General features: G+C 41.3%; 1 protein-coding gene across 7 annotated transcripts in view, besides 12 other annotated features; it reads right to left on the reverse strand.

Moving 5' to 3' along the window:
• Positions 1-7,378, reverse strand: part of ZNF608 (zinc finger protein 608) — a 111,910-nt gene extending 104,532 nt beyond the window's left edge. For 4 of the 7 annotated variants that reach the window (NM_020747.3, NM_001385620.1, XM_011543520.4 and 1 more), the window contains exons 1-2: positions 4,749-5,193; positions 2,638-3,726 (exon numbers count right to left, since the gene is read on the reverse strand). In NM_020747.3, coding sequence (NP_065798.2) covers positions 2,638-3,543 — 906 coding nt within the window. In that variant the 5' untranslated portion in view covers positions 3,544-3,726; positions 4,749-5,193. Of the gene's footprint in view, positions 1-2,637; positions 5,459-7,086 lie in introns of those variants that run through there. The other 3 variants (NM_001385619.1, NM_001385621.1, XM_047417447.1) reach the window with 3 other exon arrangements.
• Positions 707-1,401: an enhancer, noted in NCBI's record as "NANOG-H3K27ac hESC enhancer chr5:124077846-124078540 (GRCh37/hg19 assembly coordinates)". NCBI's record gives its function as "activates a minimal SCP1, AML or CMV promoter by ChIP-STARR-seq in primed H9 embryonic stem cells {active_cell/tissue: H9 hESC(primed)}" and the evidence as "EXISTENCE:reporter gene assay evidence [ECO:0000049][PMID:30033119]".
• Positions 2,045-2,094: an enhancer, noted in NCBI's record as "active region_23013". NCBI's record gives its function as "activates an Ori minimal core promoter by ATAC-STARR-seq in GM12878 lymphoblastoid cells {active_cell/tissue: GM12878}" and the evidence as "EXISTENCE:reporter gene assay evidence [ECO:0000049][PMID:35858748]".
• Positions 2,485-2,564: an enhancer, noted in NCBI's record as "active region_23014". NCBI's record gives its function as "activates an Ori minimal core promoter by ATAC-STARR-seq in GM12878 lymphoblastoid cells {active_cell/tissue: GM12878}" and the evidence as "EXISTENCE:reporter gene assay evidence [ECO:0000049][PMID:35858748]".
• Positions 2,625-2,694: an enhancer, noted in NCBI's record as "active region_23015". NCBI's record gives its function as "activates an Ori minimal core promoter by ATAC-STARR-seq in GM12878 lymphoblastoid cells {active_cell/tissue: GM12878}" and the evidence as "EXISTENCE:reporter gene assay evidence [ECO:0000049][PMID:35858748]".
• Positions 2,792-3,485: an enhancer, noted in NCBI's record as "H3K27ac-H3K4me1 hESC enhancer chr5:124079931-124080624 (GRCh37/hg19 assembly coordinates)". NCBI's record gives its function as "activates a minimal SCP1, AML or CMV promoter by ChIP-STARR-seq in primed H9 embryonic stem cells {active_cell/tissue: H9 hESC(primed)}" and the evidence as "EXISTENCE:reporter gene assay evidence [ECO:0000049][PMID:30033119]".
• Positions 3,325-3,394: an enhancer, noted in NCBI's record as "active region_23016". NCBI's record gives its function as "activates an Ori minimal core promoter by ATAC-STARR-seq in GM12878 lymphoblastoid cells {active_cell/tissue: GM12878}" and the evidence as "EXISTENCE:reporter gene assay evidence [ECO:0000049][PMID:35858748]".
• Positions 5,434-6,432: an enhancer, noted in NCBI's record as "OCT4-NANOG-H3K27ac hESC enhancer chr5:124082573-124083571 (GRCh37/hg19 assembly coordinates)". NCBI's record gives its function as "activates a minimal SCP1, AML or CMV promoter by ChIP-STARR-seq in primed H9 embryonic stem cells {active_cell/tissue: H9 hESC(primed)}" and the evidence as "EXISTENCE:reporter gene assay evidence [ECO:0000049][PMID:30033119]".
• Positions 6,126-6,305: an enhancer, noted in NCBI's record as "active region_23017". NCBI's record gives its function as "activates an Ori minimal core promoter by ATAC-STARR-seq in GM12878 lymphoblastoid cells {active_cell/tissue: GM12878}" and the evidence as "EXISTENCE:reporter gene assay evidence [ECO:0000049][PMID:35858748]".
• Positions 6,433-7,431: an enhancer, noted in NCBI's record as "NANOG-H3K27ac hESC enhancer chr5:124083572-124084570 (GRCh37/hg19 assembly coordinates)". NCBI's record gives its function as "activates a minimal SCP1, AML or CMV promoter by ChIP-STARR-seq in primed H9 embryonic stem cells {active_cell/tissue: H9 hESC(primed)}" and the evidence as "EXISTENCE:reporter gene assay evidence [ECO:0000049][PMID:30033119]".
• Positions 6,433-7,550: a biological region, named in NCBI's record as "NANOG-H3K27ac hESC enhancer GRCh37_chr5:124083572-124084570".
• Positions 7,311-7,550: a silencer, noted in NCBI's record as "silent region_16278". NCBI's record gives its function as "represses an Ori minimal core promoter by ATAC-STARR-seq in GM12878 lymphoblastoid cells {active_cell/tissue: GM12878}" and the evidence as "EXISTENCE:reporter gene assay evidence [ECO:0000049][PMID:35858748]".
• Positions 9,724-10,322: an enhancer, noted in NCBI's record as "OCT4-NANOG-H3K27ac hESC enhancer chr5:124086863-124087461 (GRCh37/hg19 assembly coordinates)". NCBI's record gives its function as "activates a minimal SCP1, AML or CMV promoter by ChIP-STARR-seq in naive and primed H9 embryonic stem cells {active_cell/tissue: H9 hESC(naive and primed)}" and the evidence as "EXISTENCE:reporter gene assay evidence [ECO:0000049][PMID:30033119]".

Here is a 19,517-nt window from a genome sequence, read left to right on the forward strand (position 1 = left end):
GGTTTTCACATGTGGCCCCTCACGAGCCACATCTGATTGCTGAAAATTAATAATCTTCACTCTCCAGGCACTTACTCTTCACAAACTCAGATAATCAAGCCAGGCTGAAGGAAATTAAAACACTGTATAAAATGTCAAAAAACCTCAGTGTTGAAATATTTTTTCAGGTGAAGCTTCTGGTCCTACTAAATCTTTACTTTCTAAATAGGTATTCTCACATCAGTAGGAAGCATTTTCTAAATTGATGCCTAATTTGATGCAACCACTAGTTAGTGGAATTAGAGTTACTTTCCTGGGTGGCATTCATGCAAGGGAGTGCCATTTCTGTGTGCCAAGGATGAAAGCATTCTTAAGAGAAGTCATTCTCAGGGTGAAGTGGGGGTGGGGAGGAAAGCCTTAAGGAATAATGTTTGAGATCCTGAGCCAACGCCCAACTTGACAGAGAATGGCCAACACTACAGGATCCAAGCCCCTGGATCCAAGCCTTTGAGGGGCCCCTGTGCCAACTCCAGTGGCTAAGATTGGTGGCACAGCTTCCTCTGGTATAGGATCAGAAGTGAATCTAAATTGCAGTGTGCTTTCTTCCCTCCCCCACCCCAGATCCACCATGACTTGTTTGCTCTTCATTTATGTAATTCATATTTATCACATTTATACTGCTCTAACTGAAGATGAGTTGCATGTATATGAATAATTTAATTCTTCCATTCTTCACCCAGTTTCCTCTGTGACTGGAAAGTGAAAAGAACACACAAAAACTGGAGAAACGACACCACGCTCTAATCTCAGTTGCCATGACAGCAGCCTTTTAGATACTGAAATGTTCCGATTGCCAGCTAAACAAAATTGTTGAATGTGAACATTTGGCTGGAAGATTAAAAGGCTAAGGGGAATGCAAAAGGGCAGTACCTCCCACATTCCAAGCAGCCAGTGAATCCAATCAAATGGCTCTGACTCCTTAACCACAGCCATTGTGAGCACTGGATTAGGGCAATTCATCTAGATAGTTAAAGCAGATTAGAACTGCAATTTGAAGACTATTGGCAACAAAAGTAAATGCCCTACTGTACTAAGTAATAAGAAGATTTCAGAACACCTTTTAGCGGAAATAATGTGAAACTACACATTTAAATATAAGACTCAAAACCCGGAATTTTCAAAAATTCATTTATATTCATTAATGTACCTGACCAAGAGGATATGAATTTATAAGCGTTTGGAGGCATTTTGCAAATTTGGCATTATCTACACCTTAATGTGCCTCTATCAACTTTTAAAAATCAAAACTTTACTCCTATACTCCAACTTAAATCCTGAACACAAAAACAAGAATATAAAAGTTTAAGTAGCAGTGAACCATTTTACACAGAAATAATTCTCCAAAGACATATTATCACCACTTACAATCCCAATCGCCAACTATAGCAAAAAAAAATCAAAATTATTTAATAAGGATGTTCCCCAACAACCATGCCACAACCCACATGACAGAAAGCTTGCTTCTGCAAGGCACAACCTGTAGAATTAATATGAAGATTAATTTCATAGAAATATCACACACACACCCCTAACTCCTTCCCAACCTGCCTAGTGGACAGAACACCTTCTGTTCCCAAACATTAGTCAATGTGGTCTATGACTAAGCAGCAAAACATGGTGTGGGTGTCGGGGCAGGCAGTTCTTCCAAGGCAGTGTCTAACTATAGACTTGTACAAAGAAGGGGAGAAGGGTCCAAATGGTCTAAATCAACCATCCACACCGTTTAAATGCAGCACATAATTCTATATTCCAATTCACTCAACCGTCTACATCCCCTTTGGCTACATTTTCACATTTCACGAGTATCAGTCCAGCAAGTCTGTTTTATTCTTCTTAGCAGCCGTCCAGCTCCCCAGTCAGGTATCCAAGTGATAACACTCTTAAATCTCTAGCTAAGAACTGGGTGAGGGAACAGGGGTAGAGTGCTAACAGCCACCAAAACCATCGAGTTTTTCTGCAGTTATGAAACCAATGACCCAACACATCAAGCTTGGGGTTTCATTCAGGACCAATAACAAGAACTCATTCAAGGATATCCTTTCACAGTACTATTTTGGAGACAGTAAGAAAAAATAAAAGGGATGAGGTCTGTAGAATGTAAATTCGAATCCTCGACATTCCTCTCCAGGGAGGGAACTTGAACCTTGCACCTAAGGACACATTACCCGCAATACTAGGATGAATAAATTAAAATAGAAAACTGTTCCCCTTAAGGAAGAAAGCAGGACAAGAGTCAAGAGGGTGCATGAGCAGGTTTTCTATTAAAAGCACACGGCAACCTGCTGACTAGTGAGGAACCGATCTACAGGGCAAAAGGTACTTAGAACACTCAGGCCCTCCCACCTGGGAACCCAAACACTAGCATCACAAGCAGCAGCAGCAGCAGCAGCAGCAGCAAGGACAGCAGAAGCAAGAGCCAAACACTGCACCCAAGTAGGCTCCCCCATATCAAATTTTAATATAAAGGATGCATATCATAGAAATCTCACAAAGAACCAGAAAGCATAAAGTGTAAGGCACACAGAGGCACACCCCCACACACCCACACAAATGCACACAGAGGAGAGTAGGACATCTAGGAAGGCGACTTTATCCTACCTTCTCAGTTTTCAGTTTCTTGATTCGCCTGTGGCTCTCCTCCTCCTCCTCTTCCTTCTTTACCAACATAGAGTTTCCCATGAGCCCTGAATCCGGGGCACTTTTGCTAACTTCCCCTGCAGCGGCGACGCTGCCACTCCCAGTGCCCCCGCAGTGGAAGGGGCTCGCGCCACCTCCATTGCTCTTGGCCCCAAAGCCATAGAGGTGCCCCCCGGAAGGGGCCTGGCTGCCACTGCCATTCTGGTGGCCCTGAAGCAGGTCGTGCTTGTCCTTCCTGGATTTCCCCGCATCCTTATCCCGCTTGGCGCCTCGGCTGCTCTGGCTTTTACCTGGCTTCTCCTCTTTGCTTTTCCCACAGGAGCCTGCCCCCGCGGTGGCGGCAGAGGTGCTGGTGCTGGTACTATTGCTGTTTGGGTTGCCGCTGCCGCCGCTGCTCACACTTTGACCCAGCGCTGAATTCATGCCAGTTGCCTCTCCAGGGCGCCCTTGGACTTCCTGCCTCTTGCCAGTGCTGCTGATCTCGGGAATCCCATACAAGGCAGCAGAAGGCAGAGATTTATTAGCATCCTTAGAAGTTTTACTCCTTTTCACTTTTGATTTGCTGGTCTCTTTGTGTGAATTCCCCTGGGGAGCAGAGGCCTGAACAGAAGCAAATTTTAGGCCATCAGCTAAGGCTGCGGTAGCACCAGCCCCACTGGAGGCCGGACCTCCACAATCCTTGGAGTTGCTGCTACTAGTGGTGGTGGTGGAATTATTCATCTCAAATTTCTGTCTGTCCTTCTCCAAATCAGCGTCCAAATCAATTATTAAATTTCCAACCCCGATTTCCCAATCATCGCCACTGTCATAAGTATCAACTGTATTTGGATCCACACCTTTTCCTGCAGTAGAAATGTTCACTGACATCCTGAAGATGAGCTCTCTAGAATAAAAATCCGATGAACTTTTCTTTGGAGATGAGGGGACATTCGTTTATCTCCGCTGGGCTTTCTCTCAAAGAAAAAAAAAATCTTCTAATCTTCCTCTTCTTTTTCCTGCCCCACGAATGTGTCCAGGGATTTTACACCCTCAGTCCAGGTCCACCTTTTCCTGTGAAGGGGGGGGGAAAAGTCGAATATTTCTTGTCTGGGTGTTACCAGAATAAAAAACGATTAGTATTGGGGAATCAGTAAAGGGGACAGGGAAGGATGGAGAGTAAGGTGGCTCATGTATTGTCCTCACAGTCCAATATCAGGTTTAAAGGAAAATAACCAAACCCGAAAAATAAACCTATGACAGTAAGCATCTTACGGTAGCTAAAAAGAAAATCCCTTTATCAACAACACAAGGATAATCACCTTTTTAAAAGCATTAAATTATCTTAAGGATCTGATTCAAGTCCAGAAAGGTTTTTGTGTTCTTTTTTAAAGTTTAGGATTTCAGTCTGGCACATGTGATATCTCAACCCCAGAAACACAGCCTGAACACTCAGACAAGAAGGAAGAACACAGCTTTAAACATCCCTAAACATGTCCTAGATCTTGCAATTTAGAAGACCAGACCCTGGAAGTTCTGAGGCTAGTTTTCAGAATAGAATGTTGCTAAATTTTCCTTATTTCTAATTTAGGTTTCAGTACTTCTTTTTACAAATTGTCTGGGCAATCTGTTTTTTGTTCCTAGTAAGGAACAGAAAAAACAACCAATAACTGCCCCCAACACACACACATACCTCCCTCCTATCCTCTTTTCCCAAACAGCTTCTACAATTTCTTTTTTGAAATATGCATGTCTTTTAAGAGCATTTCTCTCTAGAAAAGACAGTGTTATATAAAAAGTTAAATACCTGCCTTTTGAGAAAAAAATACATTTAAACAATTCTACCATATTCCTAGGTCAGAGAATTGCTCACTCTCTTAAATACGGTGCTACTGACTGTACAGAAAACTGATTAAGACATACACTTTAAGTGATCTGCGCCAAGGTGGCCTCAATGACCGCAAATGAGTGTGTTTGACAAAGAGCAGTTAAAACGGTTTTTAAAGGGATCAGCCCCTTTTTAACAGTTGATTGTCAAGAAAAAAATAAATAAATATACATACACACACACATACACACACACAGACATTGCTTACCTTTTAATCCTTTATCATTTTTTAATTAGGCCAGCAAATCAAAATGCCTTTCCCACTCCACTCGGCAAACAAGCCTGTGCCTCATTTTACTTAAACACCAAATGATCAAGAAGGAAGAAACCAAATAACACATCTCAGCCAGAATAATCACTCGATAACATTATTCCACCTCCCCACCCCCCTTTTGGCAAACGAATCAGTCCTTTTCTCCTTAAAAAAAATGTGTCACTGTACAGCTGGAAAATAATGTTTCACATTCACAACAGAAGCACCAAAGGTTTTTTTTTCCTCTTAACAAGCATCGAGAATAATAGTTTTTTAAAAAACAGAGAGTTTAGAGAAAAAAGTTTTCCCAACTTCTCATTCCGCCTTCAGTTCCAGACTTCAGAGTCACCGTGATCAGTAATGATCCCATGTAGCAAACCTACAGGCGTCCGCTAGTAACGAGACAGAATGTGCTAACATCGGGATAAATTAGTGAAAGGGAAGAAAGAATAAGAAGAAAGGACTGAAAATCTGGGCTGGATTCCGCCTGTTAGTCGGGAAGTGGCATTTTTCCGCCCGTCCTGACAGATTTGATTTCTTGAACTAACTTAAGAGAAAAGGAGGGGGGGAGTAGAGGGAGGAGGAGGAGAAGAAAGGGTGGGATGAGAAACTGGGCAAGAGGAGAAAAAGAAAGGTGTGGAGGAGGAGACAGCAGATGATTCAGTGAGCTGATAAACCAGTTATAACAGCATTCGCTCGGGGCGGGGGGCGGGGGGCTTGGGGCGGTGGGGTGGGGAAAATAACGGCGTTTAAAATGGGCTCAGTCTTCGAAACCTAAAGGATGTGATGTTTTCCTGTCTTATGTTGTTTTAAGAAAAAGGAACTGAGTTCCTAGTATAGCTCCCGAGGGGAGTGGAATCCTCTGTCGCTCAGGTCAGCCAGTCATGTGGTAATTCGATAATTAGAGTCAAAATAAGGTTTTTGTTTTCTTTTTTTTTTTTTTTAAGGCGACCCTTTTCGGGAGTTTTTCCCTCTTATACTCGCAGCAAACGGTGTGTCTCCCTTTTATTTATTTTTTCTCTCCTCTCCCTTCGCCCAGCCCCTCCTGTGTTTAGTCAGATGGCCCCGGAGCTTGGCTTAGTATTTTTAATTAGCTGGCGTTTGGAAGCTAAAAGCAGTAATGAATTGTTGATGGATTGGAAGTGGAGAGTCGCTTTGCTGGAAATGTCGGGGCTGGGAGAGGGGGATGGGCGAGTTAGTAACAACCAACCATCTAAAAGGAGCGATTTTGTTACAGTGCAAGCCTTTCACATCACGTGAGGATCAAGGGCTCAATTGGTTGTCGTGAGAACAAAAATGGTGACAAGCGTATCAAGAAAATACTGATCTGGTCTTTAAAAAAAAAAAAGCTGAAAGTCTCTCCCCTCCCCCTGCACACACTCCCCCAACCTCCTCCCCCCGCCCCCCCGCAGTGGGCGAAGCTACAAGTTATGAATGTGAAACATTTCTCGGAGATCTAGGATCTCCGAAGTTCGGAAGGAGCGAAATGTAATGAGCACAAGAGCAAAGCAGATGTTTTAAAGAAACACTTTATAAACCTTTCCTCAACTTATCTCCAATTTGTCGGCTTTCCCAAGGGGCCAGGGACGGGGACGCCTGGGGGAGGGAGAAGGGTATCTCCGAGCTACTTGGATTTTAGGGACCCCCACTTCATGTATTAAACAAAGAAAAACCTTTTGCTTGCTCCCCAGCCTGGTCCTGTAATAAATACACCATTGTTACTATTTGTGGGTTTGTTTGGGTTGGGTGGGGCTTTTATTTTTTCTCTTAATGGTATTTTTGTTGCTTGCTTTTTTAAGGAGATGGCGAATGGTAATTATAACCATTACATGTAATGAGTGACTATTCCCTTGTTTAATATTAAATTATCGGGCACTGGGATCTGACAGGAGACAGAAATCGGCTTGTTCTGCCCTTGCCCCCATTTTCCTGGATCGCTTTGGGAGGGGGGTCTGCCCAGCTAGGACAGAAGAGGGAGGGAGTAAGGTGAGCTAGAGAATTGACACTGCAGACCAGGATATGCAACTGTGTCACTTTTATTCTCCTTTGGGTTAGAGCCCAAAAGCTAATTTCCTCTAAGTTACCCCGAGTGCCCAGTCAAGCTTAATTTGTGTGAAGTTACAAATGCTTCACCCTCCACTGAATAAAATTCACCCTTCTTGGGTTGTTGTTCTAAATGCAAAAGCCAAACCCTGTAACTAGTTCCTCATTTCTATGCATAAAACTCGCACATTCCCCTGCATGAAGTCCCCGCTAAGTGCTATATAGAGACACACCACGCAACCGTACTTACGGTCTGTATTGGATCGAGTTGACCTTTTCCTTCTAACTGCATTGAATGTGTTTGGTTGCAGCCGCTTTATTTTGGAAATTATAATCTCTTCAACAAATTTATTATTAAAGAAGATGGACCATCAAATGTCACAGACCGTCCTGTGTATTTTTTATAAAAGCAAAAATTAAAATTTAAAAAAAGCAAAACAAAAATCCCCCTGGTGCACACACACAACAAGCTTGTTCTGCAACACTAAATCAGGACTGAAACACAACACACACACAGGGGGAGTGGAGCAAAAGAAGCTCTCAGCCTCTATACCTGAAAGGGACTTTTCTTTGTTCCCAGTGCCCTTTCGCATCGGGCCAATCAGAGAGCAGCTTTTATGAAACTGGGCTCTCTCATTGGCTAGCTGCTTTCTCTTGGCTACTGTAGGGGGTTGAGATATACACACGTATAAAACACACACTGAGAGCGGGTGGGGGTGCTGTGGGGGGTGGTTGTGGAGACAAAGCGTTTTATTTTCCAACCAGATTGGGGTTGAGGAACCTCCCGCAGTAAGAAGGCAAAAAAATGGTGCGCCCCTTTCAATTACTACATCATTCACATAAAACACTTATTTATTAAAACAAATCTCAAACAGGCTGCGAGGAGAGGATGTCGGTAAATACAAGTTTGATTGTGTTATCTTGGGGGAAATAATGTATGTGATCGCTCGGTGGCAGAGAGAAGCCAAACGAGCCGCTAGCGCGTAGCGAAGAGAAAAGGGAGGCTGGCTGTGTGGAACTGACTGCGAGCATTTTGCCGGCTTCCCTTCCTTGTTCCAAGGACTTCGCAGCCCAACTCCCAAGACTGATTTTCTGTATTGCAGCTTCTGGCTTTCAACCCTCCCCCCACCACTTTGCCCTTCCTGCAGTTTTTTTTTTTTTTCTTCCCTGTGTCTCTCTTTTTACTCGCTGATTAAATAAGAAAAATCGATCTGCGGGTAAAGGCGATGGTGGGGAAACAAGTAACCCTTTTGTTTCCAGGGCTCTGGTCTACAGGCACTGAAGTGTGAACGCAGGCGACCATTTAACCAACACTATGTGAATGGTTCTTCCCTGGAATTAGTAACAAATCTTTTCCACCTGGTGTTATGTGACTCCAAAAAAGAAAAACTTAATATTAAAATAAGGCCCCAGCTAAACATAGTAACACCTCGGGCCAGCCTCATCTTTTAAAAAATCGACTTATGAAAGTTAAATGTACTAGGAAGATTAACTGTTAAACAGTCCCAGTACACGTATTTAAACTGTGGAAGGGTCAGAATTCCTCTTCCCCCATATCTTTAACCCCACTGGTGGGGAAGGGGGCATCATGAATCCTCTGAATGCTACATCTACAATCCACAAACACAGAAATATTTTAGAATTTATTGTAGGACAAATGCCAGCAACCAAGTTAATGAGACTCAGCTCATAGGATAAGAGAGGTTAATATGAAATAACAAGTTTAACATTTTACTATAACAGCTAACATATTTAAGCTAATGTATTTACATATATTAAGCCTTTAGAGTACATTTAATTTTTAATTTTTTATTGTTACCTTCATTGTTTTTAGAAGCTACAATATGGACATTTGAAAGTCAAAGGTTACTGTAAACTGAAAGCATCATGATCCCAAGTTTTAAAGATCCAGTACTACTGGGATTGTAATTTCCACGTGACAATTGTAATTTAAGGTTGTGTCTTAACTGAGTCATATGGACATGTAAAGTGAATGAGTGCTAGCAGAAGACAGCTTCTGATGTAAATATTCAGTGATGACTTCGTGGATCAATAAAAATATTTATGTCACATATTTTAAATAATGGCTATTGACTCATGTTTGAGCTTTCAATATATTTAGTCCATAAAAAAATTGCCAATTAGCTGTTTCACTACCATAAATGAACTAGATTTGAGGCTGCAAATAGTAATAAACAGCAGTTTCCACCCTTTATTGGGACATATAAACCAGAGGAATGCAATCTGTACTAGTCCTTAGCTCTCCCTAAGTCAATTTGTATTCAAATCAAAGCTGTACTTTAACAAATAAAATGGGCAAATTAGGGATCTGATATCTACCTAGCCTCCATTTTAGCTTTGAGATTTGTTTTATATTTTTGAATATACAGATTTTACATTTGTGTATGCCCCATTGATAAGAATACAGCACCATACTGTTTTTTAACTTTTCTTCTTCTAAAAGAGTGATTTCTCAAAGGATCAGATCACTCTTGGGCACTTCCTGTGTCCCTGGGGTGTCATCTACATCTCAGCCTTTGGAAGCCCATGCCTACCCCATATGTTATATTAGTTTGGAAATAATATATAGGTAGTTCTTAAAAGAATGGGACATTTAAAAATGAGACCTAGTGAAGCTGGAGAAGATTGGAGTTCCTCCAATACAAAACAAATTACAGCGTCTGCAGCACAGATGAAGTCTAACTAAAACCAAAGTTTAGGGTTTGTAATAATCAAATAATCTAATCTAACCCGAGCTTCAACACTTAAACCCAAACCTTAAACCTTTCTGAGAAACCCTACTGGCCCAAGATGAAGGCTTAGGCCCGACTCTACCACATATTTAACCCAAACCATTTTGATAAATTAAAGTATTTCCTTCCATTCCAACATCTCCACACTCCATTTACACCCCACCCCCACCTCCTTCCTCCCAGGTTCTTCCAGGAGACTTTTGAATAAACCAGTGTTGTCAGACTGGCTTTTCTTGTGTTTGTTTTGTTTTGTTTTGTTTGACAAAGGGGCCAATCAAAAGGCATCAGAGGACCATCAGCTAATTGATGACTGAAACTAAGACAATTAACTACCAGTTTTGAAAATCAGAGCTACTCCTCTCACAAAATTGGGAAGTTTTCTGTATTTATAGAGATGAAAATGTTATCTTAATCTCTCATCAAGGTAACTAGGAACCTATTTGTCACCATTCTAATATCCACATGCATATACTTCATAATATCAATACACTACTGTATAATATAAGCACTATGTAATTTTACACCTTAGTGTCTACTCAGAGATGTGGTAGAAAGGAGGAGATGTCAGGAAATGAGTATTTGGAACAGAGGGGTGGAAGGAGCATGAGGATAGTGTAAAAGGGGCATTTAAAAAGTATCATCCAGCTCTTTGGAGGCCGACGTGGGCGGATCACCTGAGGTCGGGAGTTTGAGACTCGCCTGACCAACATGGAGAAACCGCCATCTCTACTAAAAATACAAAATTAGCCAGGCGTGGTGGTGCATGCCTGTAATCCCAGCTACTCGGGAGGCTGAGGCAGGAGAATTGCTTGAACCTAGGAGGCAGAGGTTGCAGCAAGCCGAGATCGCGCCATTGAACTGCAGCCTGGGCAACAAGAGCAAAACTCCATCTCAAAAACAAACAAACAAACAAACAAACAAAACAGTATCATCCCCCTCCAACAACCTCCACTACCCGCTCCTTGGATCTCAAGATCAGCTCTGCCCCTGCTTGTACTACATCATTGTTAAGGTCATCAAAAGGTCCCTTTCCTCCTTTTTTAAAGACAGACGATCTCAATGCTGAGGAGGCCAGGGGCTTCTAGCAGTAACACAGGAAAACATGGTGATCTTTCTTTGGTGCCTATTTCCTCTGATTTAGGGTATATTATTAAAGATCAAAGATTATTTCTTGGGCTAGGCCCAGTGACTCATGCTTGTAATCCCAGCACTTTGGGAAGCTGAGGCTGGAGGATCGCTTGAAACCAGGAATTCAAGACCAGCCTGCTCAGCATAGCGAGACCCTGTCTCTATAAAATTTTTTTTTCTTTTTTTTTTTCTTTTTGAGTCAGTCTCACTCTGTCGCCCAGGCTGGAATGCTGTGGCACCATCTCAGCTCACTACAACCTCCACCTGCCGGGTTCAAGGGATTCTTCTGCCTCAGCCTCCTGAGTACATGAGATTACAGGTGTGCGCCACCACGCTTGGCTAATTTTTGTATTTTAGTAGAGACGGGGTTTCACCATGTTGGTCAGGCTGATCTCAAATTCCTGACCTCGTGATCCTCCCGCCTCAGCCACCCAAAGTGCTGGGATTACAGGTGTGAGCCACCGTGCTCGGCTACAAAAAATTTTTAAAAAGTTAGCCAGGCGTGGTGGCACATGCCTATGTCCTAGCTACTCTGGAGGCTGAGGTGGGAGGATCATTAACGGCCAGGAGTTGGAGGCTGCAGTAAGCTATGATCATACTGCTATACTCCAGTCTGGGCAACAGAATGAGAACATGTCTAAATATATATCTATTTCTCCAGTTTTTGTGTATTTGTAAGGGAGTCTATTCCTAGGCCTACCTTTTCTATATTTATGCCAACATTGACACTTGAGATCTACTCAGGATCAAGGGAAAAAGTGGAAAACAAAGTTATAAAAAATGAAACCAACATGGAAATGGGGTTAATTTATAGGAAAAAGAACTTAATTTAGACATAATGAGAAACTTACTGGCTATCCCAGAGGATTATGGAGAAAGATTCTTATCTCTCTGGGTTTGCTTATCAACAGGATGGCCTCAAGGCAGTGGGCAGGTGTCCTGCCCTGGTTTCTAGGGAATACAGTTGATGACTTATTAAACACCCACACAAACACAAGAAGGTCTTTGCTTTTTTTCCCTACAGGTAACATCCTGACTTGCTAAAGGTCCTCTAGAAAAAACACTGTCTCTACTTTTTCACACCTGCATGCTAAATCCAATTTAAGTTTCTGGGTAGTACTTTAAACAATATCCATTTCCCAGGCTGGATGTGGTGACTCATGCATGTAATCTCAACACTTTTAGAGGCTGGGGTGAGAAGATGCCTTGAGCCCAGAAGTGCAAGACCAGCCTGGGCAACATAGGGTGACCCCGTCTCTATATAAAATCAAAAAAACTAGTCAGGCAAGGTGGTCTATAATGCCAGCTACTCAGGAGGCTGAGGCAAAAGGATCACCTGAGCCCAGGAGGTCGAGGCTGCAGTGAGCCATAATCACGCCACTGCACTCTAGCCTGGGCAACAGAGCCGGACCCTGTCTTTTTAAAAAAACAAAAATATCCATTTCTGGATAACTGTTGCCAAAAGGAGACGAGCAGTGTTGTTCTTGGTCAAACATTTGACGTTTTGCATTATCCTGAAATATCACTGGAACAAGACAAAGCACTAAGAGCCTTGTCTACCGTGGAAAGAAGGGCCCCTGCACACCATAACATTTCAGGTCCTTTTGGGGAGCATGAAGGGTCTCAGAGAAGAAAAACATCAACAATGTTCTCCCTGCCATGAAAGACTGTGGGACATTTCCAATATACATTTTGTAAATACGACTATTTACACACATCGTATTACTCTGCTATGTTAACTTTTCAAGATACTTCTATGCCCTATTAATTCACCTTCAGTTTAAATTCCTTAGAGTATAACAAAAAGACCCTCCACCCAAGGGAGGGAAAGTAATAACTGTCTTGACATGTCTTTACAATACAGTTTACCTTAAACAAGTTGCGATGATATAGAGCAAATATTACGTGAATTTATTTAAGACTACAATGCATTTAATTAGTAAAGCAATATAAAGTTGAAGAACTTTATATACTTATAAACCCTCTATGTTTATGTAATTCCTCATATAGTCTCTAATCCTCCATCTTAAAATAATCAAAATAAAAAGCAGCAAATTGTCTTTTTTATGCCTTGCAGCTCTAGAGAACCTAGCAAAATATGGCAAAACAATGTGATCTTTAAAGGAAAACATTTGTATACTGCTCTCATTAAGAGAAGTGCAATGTAGGTCAGTGTTAAGTATCTGAAATTGTACCTCCGCTTGGCTCGGGCTTTTGTGGTGTGGTGTGTGCAGCTATATCTGAGTGGGTGCTCAAGCAAGGTCTGAGGATCAGTTAGCAAAGTAAGGCAATTTACATCTCGTGTAATGAAACCATTTCTGGAAAAGGATTTTTCTTTTATGCCAGCAGAGACTGGCTGCATAAAGAAGATCAAAACACAAGCTACATTAAAAAAAAAAAAAAAAAAAAGAACTACTTATTGGAGATTTCTGTTGCTGGTTTTATTACAATATGTATTTTACAGATTTAGGTAATAGCCCTGATTTTTCAAATCGACCTCTGTTTAGACACGTTTCACTTTCGGCTGTTTCTTGTCTGTAAAATTACAGTCATTTGCACGTTATTACAGTGAGTAGGAGACAGATTGTATTTAGCATTGGGTGGGGGAAGGGTTATTATGGGAAGTGATCTGCTAAGGTCAGCACATAATTTCAGCCTGAAGAAAATTGCTTCTGAATGGCTGGTCTGTTAGCTAGCCAAGGAATAGTCACTGGGAGAGACTGCAAAATACTTCTGCTTAATCTGCATTATAGAGTTATTCTCATTTCCAGATAGATGGCCCGTAGATACAGTGTTTGTAAAACTAAATTTAAAAACTTGTAGGTGAAATGTTGTCACTGCTCTATTTGAATTCAAAACAATTACAACAAAATGCAATACGATCAAGCACAGGAAGATCAAGAGGCAGCAGGATCCAGCCATTACGTTCCACTCCATCTTTCTCCTTTGCCTCCATTTCTCTGCTTCTTCTTTTGTCATTTTTAAAATCCTTATGACTTCATGACAGTAGATTTTTACATATGTGTAAAAATTGAGAGCAATACCAAACACATTGATACATGTATCTCCAACTTTCACACATATATGACTGCAGGAAAACAAAATGCCTAAATTAGTTTCTTTTTGGAGAGTGGCATAATTCCCTCAAGTGTGAAAGCACTAAATATACTTTTGATGCTAGAATTTAAGGATTTTTTTCACATTTTATAAAAATATATTCTATTTGTGCACATTTTCTAAAGCTGACAGAAGAACAAAGCAGTGATACTTATCAGAAACAGTAACCCCTGCCTAATTTTAATATTTAAATCCAACCCTTATGCATCACCTGGGAAGTCTTAACATATTTGGTTAGATGAAATCAGGAGACCAAAGTTTATTTTAAAGAAGAATAAAAGAGTTCCGTTATACTCGGCTCCTTTGGCTGTTGAATATCACTTTTGTTGTGAACAACTGTGCCTCTTTTGTTTTCAAAACAAGCTTTCCTAAAGAATGAATCACTACAATCATTTGGAGAATATGCAATAAACAACAGAAAGCCAGAAAGTTGTTTTGCTATTTTCTCAGCAGAGCCTTTCCTCCCCTTCCTCACAGCTCAGCGGTGCCTCCAGTCCACCAGCCAATCATCATTATGGAAATGTGGTTCTCAGCCCCCTGATTGGCTGACTTCTGGTCCAGGATGTTTAAGGTTTCTACAGCTCATCACATGCATTGCCTGCCAGACTGCTCTGTGGACCTTTTTCTACTATGAATATTTTAATCATCTTTTATTTTCCTTTCTTTTCCTTTCTGTCCTTCTGTCCTCTTTTTTAAGATTCTTAAAATCATTTAAGGAAGCACCTTGTATTTTCTTGCAAACACCTTTAAAATGTAATGATCTGTTAAGAATAGAGTTGAATATACGAGAACATGTTTTCTAACCATATTTTAATGTTTTCTGTTTATTTGGGTTTTAATGATGTGTCTTTGGATTTTAGAGGGGTCCCATGAAAGTTAAATGAACAAACATATGCTTTAATTTTTATAATTCTAAACATAATGTCTCCCAAAAAGAATTTTATTGAGATATTTACAAGTCAAAACATTAAATTAAAAAACCTTTAATACTGAAAAGTAATCTTTCAGGTAAAGGAGACAATGTATTTTTTCATAATTAAAACATTGCCTTTTATTTGTAATTTTAAAAGATGTTTTAAACATTAACACTCTTGGCCGGGTGCTGTGGCATACGCCTGTAATCCCAGCAGTTTGGGAGGCCGAGGCAGGTGGATCGCTTGGGGTTAGGAGTTCGAGACCAGCCTGGCCAACACGGTGAAACCCCGTCTCTACTAAAAATACAAAAATTAGCTGGGCATTATGGCAGCTGCCTGTAATCCCAGCTACTCAGGAGTCTGAGGCAGGGGAATCACTTGAACCTGGGAGGCAGAGGTTGCAGTGAGCCAAGATCATGCCACTGCACTCCAGAACTCCAGTCTGGACAACAAAGCGAGACTCTGTCTCAAAAAAAAAAAAAAAGGAAGTTAACACTCCTATAGTGTATTAAGGATGCACAACTCTTTCAAGCTTGTTGTTGTTGTTGTTGTTGTCGGGGTTTTTTGTTTTGTTTTGTTTTGTTTTGTATTTTTGGAGACAGAATCTCACTCTGTCACCCAGGCTGGATTGCAGAGGCATGATCGAAGCTCACTGCAGCCTCAACCTCCTGGGCTCAAGCAATCCTACCTCAGCCTCCTGAGTAGCTGGGACCACAGGCATGCACCACCACAGCCAGCTAGTTTCTTTATATTTGTAAAGAAGGGTGTCTCCTATGTTGCCCAGGCTGGTCTCAAACTGCTGGGCTCAAGGGATCCTCTTGCCTCGGCCTCCCAAAATGCTGGGATTATAAGCATGAGCCACCACGCCCAGCCTGAAATAGGTTTGTAATTCAAGTGAATAATAGTAGGAAATACATGTGTGATTTACTATGTTCCAAAAAGTCTTCTTAATTATTTATATGTATTAATTTATTTAATCTTCATAGCAGGCAAGTGAAATAAGTAGTATTAGCATCAGAATGAGGAAACTGAGACACAGAAATCATGTAATTTGTCTAAATTTTCCAGCCAAATCTTGGTCCAGCCAAGATTTAATATAGGAAGCCTGTATGCTTAACCACTGCACCAGGACTATTATAAAAGAACAAAACTCCAGACAACATTGCCATTCTTTTTGTTGAGTGCAGGAACATTAACAGGTGACCAAGGACTTCTTTTCCTGAAAGAAATGCAGTTAACAAGCAATGTGCTAACTTTTTTCCAACATAGAACAACTCTATGCCAAACTGAAGATATGGCACATTTGATCAGATACATGCAAATTCTGCGAGAAATTGTATCACTTCTGGTCCTTATACTCAGGATATTTTTTAAAAATCAATTTTCTTCTTATCACTTAATTGAAAAAAAAAGTTTTTGGTCACATCTTTGGATCTGAGAAAAATTTTAAACATTTAAGAAATATTCCCATAATAGTGAGGCAGCCAGGTGGGAGGGGGTCCCTGGAGAAACTCCAACCAGCCTGCCCAATGAGATGGAGCCTCACCAACGTGAAGTTCAGGACATTTGCAGCAGGGAGGAACCTTGCCTTACCTTTTCCTGTGTGGAACCTGGGATCCAAGCTGCTGGTGAGCAGCACTCTATCTGCCAGAGTCCTTGTTTCCCCCTTTTCTTCCTTTTCACCCAATAAAACCCTGCTTCACTCACCCTTCAAACCATCTGGGAACCTAAATTTTCATGGCCGTGGGACGGAAAAGGACCCTGTTGTTAGCTGAACCAAGGAAAAGTCTTACCACAATAGGTGGCAGAGTGAGGTTAAAAAATGACATAAAGCTGGCCATTATTGGGACTGGTGGTTTGTTGATAGGGATCATAATATTCGTTTTTGTTTTTGTTTTTGTTTTTTTTTTTTTTTTTTGGAACGGAGTCTTGCTCTGTCGCCCAGGCTGGAGTGCAGAGGTACGATCTCGGCTCACTGTAAGCTCTGCCTCCCGAGTTCACGCCATTCTCCTGCCTCAGCCTCCTGAGTAGCTGGGACTACAGGCACCCGCCACCACGCCCAGCTTTTTGTTTTTTTTTTTTGTTTGTTTTTTTTTGTATTTTTTAGTAGAGATGGGGTTTCACCGTGTTGGCCAGGATGGTCTTAATCTCCTGACCTCGTGATCCGCCCGCCTCGGCCTCCCAAAGTGCTGGGATTACAGGCGTGAGCCACCGTGCCCCCCTGGGATCATAATATTCTTTATGTAATACATGCGCTTACATACGCACACACACTTTTGAAAATTTCTATGTTAAAAACTGGGGCCAGTTGAAAGGCTCATTCCTATAATCCCAACACTTTGGGGGGCCAAGGCGAGAGGATTGCTTGAGGCCAGGAGTTCGAGACCAGACTGGGCAATATAACAAGACCGTGTCTCTACAAAAAATTTCAAAAATTAGGTGAATGTGGTGACACATGCCTGTAGTCCCAGCTACTTGAGAGACTGAGGCAGGAGGATCACTTGAGCCCAGGAGTTCAAGGCTCATTACGGTGAGCTATGCCACTGTACTCCAATCTGGGCAAAAGAGCAAGACCCTGTCTCAAACAAACAAACAAACAAAAAGCTACCGTGCCTTGGAGAAGGAAGGAGCTATTCAGAAACACAATTTATCCCTTGGATTTAGAACAGTTTTTGCATTAATCCAACAGGGTAAAATGACTTTACTGTATATACAAACAAGCAGCAGATTACACCTGTAGCCTACCCTTTGTTTACACAGGTTTTTGTTTGTTTGTTTTGAGTCCAATTTACTTGCAAGGCCATATACGTTGAAAATCTGTAACGTGCTATTTATATTTTCTTTTTTTCTTGAGACGGAGTCTGGCTCTGTCACCCAGGCTGGAGTGCAATGGCGCTATCTCGGCTCACTGCCACCTCCGCCTCCTGGGTTCAAGCGATTCTCCTGCCTCAGTATCCCAAGTAGCTGGGATTACAGGCATGCACTGCTACGCATGGTTAATTTTTGTATTTTTAGTAGAGAAGAGGTTTCACTATGTTGGCCAGGCTGGTCACGAACTCCTGACCTCAAGTGATCCACCCATCTCAGCCTCCCAAAGTACTGGGATTACAGGCGTAGGCCACCGCGCCTAGCCGCTATTTATATTTTCAACATGTGTCTAGGAGACTCAGTTGAACAGTTTATAACTTCCTTGCACAAACTTTTTTTTTTTTTTTTGAGACAGAGTTTCGCTCTTTCACCCAAGCTGGAGTGCCATGGCGGAATCTCAGCTCACTGCAACCTCCGCCTCCCGAGTTCAAGCAATCCTCCTGCCTCAGCCTTCTGAGTAGCTGGGATTACAGGTGTGTGCCACCATGCCCAGCTAATTTTTGTATTTTTAGTAGAGACAGGGTTTCACCATGTCGGTCAGGCTGGTCTCAAACTCCTGACCTTGTGATCCGCCCGCCTGGGCCTCCCAAAGTGCTGGGATTTGCAGGCATGAGTCACCACATCTGGCTCATTCATTTTCTTTAAAATAAAGAAAAAATTTGGTAGTTTAGATTTCTTCAGTACATGTTTTCTGTCTTATTCAAAGAAATAGAGTTGTAAAAATGAAACACACAATTCAGACACAGAATTAAATTCTTTTTTTTTTTTCTAAGGCAGGCTCTTGCTCTGTCGCCACAGCTGGAGTGCAGTGGCATGATCATAGCTCACTGCAGCCTTGAAATCCTGGGCCTAAGCCATTCTTCCGCCTCAGCCTCCTGAGTAGCTGGGACTACAGGTGCATGCCACCACACCTGGCTAATTTTTTAATTTTCATTTTTGTAGAGATGGGGATCTTGCTTTGCTGACAAGGCTGGTCTTGAACTCCTGGACTTAAGCAATCCTCCTGCCTTGGCCTCCCAAAGCACTGGAATTACAAGGAGGAGCCACCATGCCTATCCAGAATTAAATTCTTTAAATAAAATAGCAGCATACAGTGAAAGACGCTATATAATATAAGCAAAATTGAACAGAATTAGACTAAATGAAGAGAAAAATGTTTAATCTTTTCACAAAGAGGTCTAAGACATCGACATTAAAAAGGGCATTGAAAAAGATAAAATCGTGGTAACAGTTACTATTCTTAACAAATAGGATATAATTTTGTGAAATAATGAGATTATAACACAAGGAGTCACTGATAAAACTGTTATAGCAGGAAATGGATAAATCATTAAATATAATGAGATTTAACTATCACTGTAAGAGAAATGATATGTAATTAGAAAAAGGAACAGAATATAAAAAGAAAGCAATGTCTCTATCCATGGTTCCACATTAGTAAAAGTCTAGTGATAAAGAGGGAAGTATCTCTGAGTCTATTAATAAATTATAGACCCAGTTTTCATTAATTATAATAACAATGGTCCTTCCAAATTCAAACTCATCTTCTATCATCCTTTCATTTTTAAGAAACACCTGTATAGCACTTACTCAGTGCAAGGCACTATACTAAGCATTTTACAAATATCAACTCATTTCCTGTAATTAAGTTTGAGCTATCCATGTAGTAACTCAAAAATCCTCTATTGTGTTATGCAAGGTTCAAAGAAGATATGAAAAAGAAAAGACATCATCTCTGCCCTTGAGAGGCTTTGAGTTTCCTAGAGGAGATAAGACACCCAACTATGAAAAGAATGTGATTTATGATAATAAGTAGAAAAAGCATTGCTTTGGGGGAAAAGGAAAAGCTAACTTTATCTAAGGAGTCAGTATAGATTCTAGAAACAAAGTAGGTTAAATTG

The sequence above is a fragment of the Homo sapiens genome, chromosome 5 (assembly GCF_000001405.40).
Source record: "Homo sapiens chromosome 5, GRCh38.p14 Primary Assembly".
Lineage (NCBI taxonomy): Eukaryota > Metazoa > Chordata > Mammalia > Primates > Hominidae > Homo > Homo sapiens.